Source organism: Homo sapiens, chromosome 9, assembly GCF_000001405.40.
Source record: "Homo sapiens chromosome 9, GRCh38.p14 Primary Assembly".
Lineage (NCBI taxonomy): Eukaryota > Metazoa > Chordata > Mammalia > Primates > Hominidae > Homo > Homo sapiens.
In genome coordinates, this window is record NC_000009.12 from 128,362,289 (window position 1) to 128,368,775 (window position 6,487).

A 6,487-nucleotide genomic window follows, 5' to 3' on the forward strand; every position below is an offset into this window, starting at 1 on the left:
CTGCCGTGCCTGAGTGTGATCAGCAGAGGGCGTGTGGAGCTTGGAGAATCCACTCCTGGCCCTTAGCCGAGGGAAGCATGGAGAGGCTGATTCCCACCTCAGCCGCGAGCAGGTTCCCAACTTAGAGGACCCTGTGACAGGCCTCCGAGGGCCTTTGGTCGGGTTTCCAAGGACCTGGATTTGGTTGGCAGTGCGGCTTTGTGTCTTTAACCCTCAGTAGTGAGTTCTCCACAGTGGGAAGAAGGAGCTCTCAGAGCGGGGCATTCCTTCCTCCAGGTTGAACACAGTCACCCGAAGGCAATATGCAGTGGTGGTGAAGAGCTCTGGCTCTGGAGTCGGACAGGCCTGCATCCAAATCCCAGCTCTACCACTTGCCAGGCTAAGCCTCAGTTTCCTCTCCTGTAAATGAAGGTCAAGGAATCCCTATCTTGGGATAGTTGTGAAAATTCAATGAGATCATGCACGAAAATCTCAGCACTAGGCCTGGTGCTGGTGTCCACTCAGTGCATGGTAGTTAAAAGAGAAAAAGGAGATATATTTAGATGTTAAAACCTCACTTAGACTAGGCTAAGTTTCCCACTTCTGTACTAGGCCCCACTGCAGCCCCTCCATGATGGACAGGGACTGGTGGGCCTGTGACCCCTTCACCTCTCGGGTCTGCATCTGATCATACCTCAACCATGGCTGTGTGAGTCATCTCCGTGCATGCAGCAGGTGCTTAATACATGCTTGTGAGGTTAACTGACAAAAATAGCTACTGTTTCTCAGGCATTTCCTGACATTTATATAGTGCCCCACAGTTTACAGAGCACCCTGTAAGTTCATCTATGGAGCAAATTATTATTATTATTATTTTTGAGACGGAGTTTCATTCTTGTTGCCCAGGCTGGAGTGCAGTGGCATGATCTTGGCTCACCGCAACCTCTGCCTCCCGGTTTGAAACGATTCTCCTGCCTCAGCCTCCCGAGTAGCTGGGATTACAGGCATGCACCACCACGCTTGGCTAATTTTGTATTTTTATTAGAGACGGGGTGTCTCCATGGTCAGGCTGGTCTCCAACTCCCGACCTCAGGTGATCCGCCCGCCTCGGCCTCCCAAAGTGCTGGGATTACAGGTGTGAGCCGCCGCACCCGGCCCTATGGAGCAAATTCTAAAGGCCTACCCTGTGCAGGGAGGGCAGGGAACTGCCAGATGAGCAAGATAGAGACCTGGGTCCCAGATCTGCCCTCAGGGAGCCACCATCTCCAGAGAGGGGGATGGTGAGTAAAGAAGCAAAGGCTGTGTGCTTAGCTGCACCTAATCCAGCACATAGGCTGGGTGTATCTTGGTCAGGGAGGGCTTTCAAGGAAGATTGTTCCAGATGGAGGAAGCAACCACATGTAGAGGGCTGGAAGTCCAGGGCAGGTTAAAAGGGCAGACAGGCCAGGCGCAGTGGCTCACGCCTATATCCCAGCACTTTGGGAGGCCCAGGCAGGCAGATCACTTGAGGTCAGGGGTTCGGGACCAGCCTGGTCAACATGATGAAACCCCATCTCTATATTAAAAACAAAAATTAGCCTGGCGTGGTGGTGGGCACCTGTAACCCCAGCTACTCGGGAGGCTGAGGCAGGAGAATCGCTTGAAACCTGGGAGGCGGAGGTTGCAGTGGGCTGAGCGCTCATGTCACTGCACTCCAGCCTGGGCAACAGAGTGAGACTGTCTCAAATAAATAAGGGCAGGCAGCGAAGCTGCAGGGTTGGGGAGAGGGGTTAGAGTTGTTAGAATCCTTTGTGGGCTCTTCTATTTTTACGCCTCCAGAGAGGAGCAAGCTCCATTTGGAGGTCCGAGTATCAAGTCAAACCCACTTCCTTAGGCTGCCATTAATGTCCACAATGTACGGCGCACTTCTATGTGTCAGGCCCTGTGCAAAGCGCTTTATGTGCATGATTTCATTAAATCCTTCTATTCAAAGCACGTACCTTGTTTTTTTAAAATCCTCCTATTCAAAGCAGGTACTATTTTTTTTTTTTTTTTTTTGAGATGGAGTTTTGCTCTTGTTGCCCAGGCTGGAGTGCAGTAGCCCAATCTCGGCTCACTGCAATCTGCACCTCCCGGGTTCAAACCATTCTCCTGCCTCAGACTCCCAAGTAGCTGGGATTACAGGCACCTGCCACCACGCCAGGCTAATTTTGTATTTTTAGTAGAGATGGGGTTTCACCATGCTGGTCAGTCTGGCCTCGAACTCCTGACCTCAAGTGATCCACCCGCCTCGGCCTCCCAAAGTGCTGGGATTACAGGCGTGAGCCACCGCGCCCAGCCCAAAGCAGGTACATTTTTATCCCCATTTCACAGATGAGGAATCTGAGGCTCAGAGAGGCAAAGTCTCTCCCAAATACCACAGAGCTTGTGAATGGCAGAACTGGGAGGAAAGTCCCCTTCCCTGAACCTCAGTGTTCCCATCTGCAAACTGTTCCTCCAGGAGAGGCTGGAAGGGGCCAGCCTCGTGCGCTCCCGGAGGTCCAGCTGCCCTCGGGACAGGCAAGTGGCTGTCCAGGCCACTGCATGGTGTATCACTTTCAGTTCCTGGGAAGAAGGTTAAATACCTCCGAGGGGCCCATTGAGGCTGCGGCAGCAAAGGAGGGGGTGACCGAGTGACTTTCAAAGGGGCTTGAAATGCGTAGCCGGCCCCTCCCCCCGAGGAGGGGGCCCTGCTTCCTCCCGGCCTAATGATATTCTGGGCTCAGCCCTCGTCTTTGGCGGCAGTTTAACCCGAGCCGGGGCGGATTTCTTTCTCACTGATCTCAGCTTGACACCCAATTAGCACAAGAATGGGAGGAGGAAGCCTGCGAGAGGCGCCTCCCAGCCTCCCGGGGCGCGCGAGGGGAGCAGGCGGGAAGACAAAGGACAGCAGGCAGGGGGGCACCCGCGCCCTCGCCTCCCCAGCCGACCCTGCCATTGTCTCCCTGCGAGCTTCAGAGAGGACGGAGGCCTACGCCCGGGCTGGCCGGCCTGCTGGAGGGAACAGGGAATGGGGCCCAAGCCCCTGTTCTGTGTGGACCCAAAGGGAAAGCATTTGGGTGAGGCTAGTCCAAGGGGAGGCAGTGAGGTCAGTGCATAAGGGGCAGGGATCCCGAGGACACAAAAGCCTGGGGCTGAGGCCTTACGGGGGCTCAGGCAAGCCACCCATTCGGAGTCTCGGTGCTCTCATCTGAAAAAGGGATCACAAAGAGTCCCTGTGAGGAGTAAATTAGGGGGTGCATGTAATGCACCTGGCAGGTGCAAAGTGGGCGTGCAATAAATACTATTTGAAAGATTATGGGTGTTAAGCTAATATTGTTACTAACTAAAGGATGGAGTGGGGTAGGCTTGGGTTAGAAGGAAGGACTTTATCAGTGATAGCTGGGCATCCACAGAGTGGGCTGGTTTACCCAAAGAGCTCACCAATCTCTGGGCTGTGCCAGGAGAAGCTGGAGGACCACCTGCCTGGGAGATTCCAGTAGGGAGGGAGTGTCTCTGGCCCCGTGCATAGACTCCCAACACCTCCTTTAGACTTGGGCTTCCATGTGACTTCCTGTGGGAAGCCTTCCCGGACCCCAGGACTAAGTTGGGGACCTCCTCTGGTTCCCACAGGCCCCGTGTTCTCCCTCCATACCATGGATTGCTCTGTCTTCTGTGGTTCCCTCTATGTGGTCTCCTTGAACATCAGCCCCAGGAGGGCAAGGAGACCCACAGGTTTTGGGGTTTGTTTTGTTTTGAGTTGGAGCCTGGCTCTGTCGCCCAGGCTGGAGTGCAGTGGCGAAATCTCGGCTCACTGCAACCTCCCCTTCCTGGGTTCAAGCGATTCTCCTGCCCCAGCCTCCCAAGTAGCTGGGATTACAGGTGTGCTCCACCACACCTGGCTAATTTTGTGTTTTTAGTAGAGATGGGGTTTCGCCATGTCCAGGCTGGTCTCAAACTCCTGACCTCAAGTAATCCACCCACCTCTGCCTCCCAAAGTGCTGGGATTACAGCGTGAGCCACCATACCTGGCCTACCGACAGGTTTTTTTTTTTTTTTCGTGGTGGTGGTTTGTTTTGTTGTTGTTTTTTTGTTTTGTTTTGTTTTTGAGACGGAGTCTCGCTCTGTCACCCAGGCTGGAGTGCAGTGACGCGATCTCGGCTCACTGCAAGCTCCGCCTCCTGGATTCACGCCATTCTCCTGCCTCAGCCTCCCGAGTAGCTGGGACTACAGGTGCCCGCCATCACACCCGGCTAATTTTTTTTTGTATTTTTAGTAGAGACGGGGTTTCACCGTGTTAGCCAGGATGGTCTCGATCTCCTGACCTCGTGATCCGCCCGCCTCAGCCTCCCAAAGTGCTGGGATTACAGGCGTGTGCCACCGCACCCGGCCAACTGACAGGTTTTGTTCATCATTGTGTTCCCAGCAGCAACACTGGCCCTGGTGTGTAATAGGTTCTCAGTGAATGTTTGTCAGGTGGATGAAGCTCTTCAAATGCTCCCAAGTGCTCCATTCCAGCTCTGGGAGGCAGTTTCCAGGTCAGGGGACACTGAGGTGGGTTGGAATCAGAGGCTGTAAAGGGCTCTGTATGCCTTCTAGGTAGGCCCTTAGCTTGTTGGCAAAGGGAAGCCATTAAGTGACTTTGAGCAGGGGACTGATATCATTCATTCATTTACTCATTCAGCAAGCTCTTGGCAAACCCCTATAGAGTACAAAGTTCCGCACTACCTGCTATAATCAAAGATGAATCAGGAAAAGTTTCTGCCCAGAAGGAGCTTAGAGTACAGTAGAAGAATCTTAGAATATGTTTGCATAGAAGACCTTAGAAGATCATTTGGTCCCAAACCTCTTCACAGAATAGGGAAACTGAGTTCCACAGAGGGGTGGGTCACATGGCACGGTGAGGATGAGGCCTTTCTGTGTACCACGTGAGTCCTCCACTTTCCAAGGACCAGGGCAGTGTCTCATTTGTCCTTGTTTTATAGGAACAGGGCCTGGCACATTGAAGGGGCTCAAAGCTGTCCGTGGAGTTGATCTGTACAATGAAGCCAAGGCCAGAGGAGGTGGGAGGCAGGCAGGCCAGAGAGGAAGCAGGTGCAGGTGAGGTGATGAGCTGGAGGACTGGGGGGGCATGCCAGATTAGAAGGGAGACTCGGCTGGGCGCAGTGGCTCACGCCTGTAATCCCAGCACTTTGGGAGGCTGAGGCAGGCAGATCACGAGGTCAGGAGATTGAGACCATCCTGGCTAACATGGTGAAACCCCATCTCTACTAAAAACACAAAAAATTAGCCAGGCCTGGTGGCGGGCGCCTGTAATCCCAGCTACTTGGGAGGCTGAGGCAGGAGAATGGCGTGAACCCGGGAGACAGCTTGCAGTGAGCTGATATCGCACCACTGCCCTCCAGCCTGGGCGACAGAGTGAGACTCCGTCTCAAAAAAAAAAAAAAAGAAGGGAGACTCATCCAAATTTGGTGACTGTTTGGATATGAGAGAGGGAAAATTAGGGTAATTTGGGTGTTTACTTGGGTGTTTTGGTGGGTGGTAGTGGTATTCCTGAGATGGGGAACACAGAACCTGTTTTGTTTTGTTTGTTTTGAGACGGAGTCTAGCTCTCTTGTTGCGCCACTGCACTCCAGCCTCCCGGGTTCAAGCAGTTCTCCTGCTTCAGCCTCCCAAGTAGCTGGGATTACAGGTGTGCACCACCATGCCCAGCTAATTTTTCTATTTTTAGTAGAGATGGGTTTCACCATGTTGGCCAGGCTGGTCTCGAACTCCTGATCTCAAGTGATCCACCTGCCTCAGCCTCCCAAAGTGCTGGGATTACAGGTGTGAGCCACTGCGCCCGGCTGAGAGAACCTGTTTTAGGAAAGAGTCACTGTGCCAAGAACTTACTCACTCCTCACTACAACCTTATGGGGTTGGGATGTTATTATCCCCATTTTACAGATGAGGAAACTGAGGCGCAAAGCTGTTAAGGGACTTGCCCAAAGACACAGCTAGAAAGTAGTAGGACCTAGATATATTAATTTTTAATTTTAATTTTTATTTCAGACAGTCTCACTGTCACCCAGGGCTGGAGTGCAGTAGTGTAACCTCCGCCTCCCAGCTTGTGCCTCAGCCTCCTGAGTAGCTGGGACTACAGGTGTGTGCCACCATGCCTGGCTTTTGGTAGAGATGGGGTTTCATCATGTTGCCCAGGCTGGTTCTGAACTCCTGGCCTCAAGCAATCCATCCACCTTGGCCTCCCAAAATGCTGGGATTACAGGCGTGAGCCACTGTGCCTGGCCAGGGCCTGCATATAAAGCTGGTAGTTGTACTCCTAGATCTTTACAAAAAAAATTTTTTTTAAATTAAAAATTCTTTGGCCAAGCCAGGTGCAGTGGCTCACACCTGTAATCTCAGCACTTTGGGAGGCCAAGGCGGGCAGATCACCAGGTCAGGAGTTCGAGACCAGCCTGGCCAATATGGTGAAACCCCATCTCTACTAAAAGTACAAAAATTAGCCAGGATG

The 6,487-nt window shown here is 52.8% G+C and overlaps 3 annotated features.

Moving 5' to 3' along the window:
* Nucleotides 1,751-2,641: an enhancer, noted in NCBI's record as "OCT4-NANOG-H3K27ac-H3K4me1 hESC enhancer chr9:131126318-131127208 (GRCh37/hg19 assembly coordinates)". NCBI's record gives its function as "activates a minimal SCP1, AML or CMV promoter by ChIP-STARR-seq in naive and primed H9 embryonic stem cells {active_cell/tissue: H9 hESC(naive and primed)}" and the evidence as "EXISTENCE:reporter gene assay evidence [ECO:0000049][PMID:30033119]".
* Nucleotides 2,642-3,533: an enhancer, noted in NCBI's record as "OCT4-NANOG-H3K27ac-H3K4me1 hESC enhancer chr9:131127209-131128100 (GRCh37/hg19 assembly coordinates)". NCBI's record gives its function as "activates a minimal SCP1, AML or CMV promoter by ChIP-STARR-seq in naive and primed H9 embryonic stem cells {active_cell/tissue: H9 hESC(naive and primed)}" and the evidence as "EXISTENCE:reporter gene assay evidence [ECO:0000049][PMID:30033119]".
* Nucleotides 2,875-2,944: a silencer, noted in NCBI's record as "silent region_20338". NCBI's record gives its function as "represses an Ori minimal core promoter by ATAC-STARR-seq in GM12878 lymphoblastoid cells {active_cell/tissue: GM12878}" and the evidence as "EXISTENCE:reporter gene assay evidence [ECO:0000049][PMID:35858748]".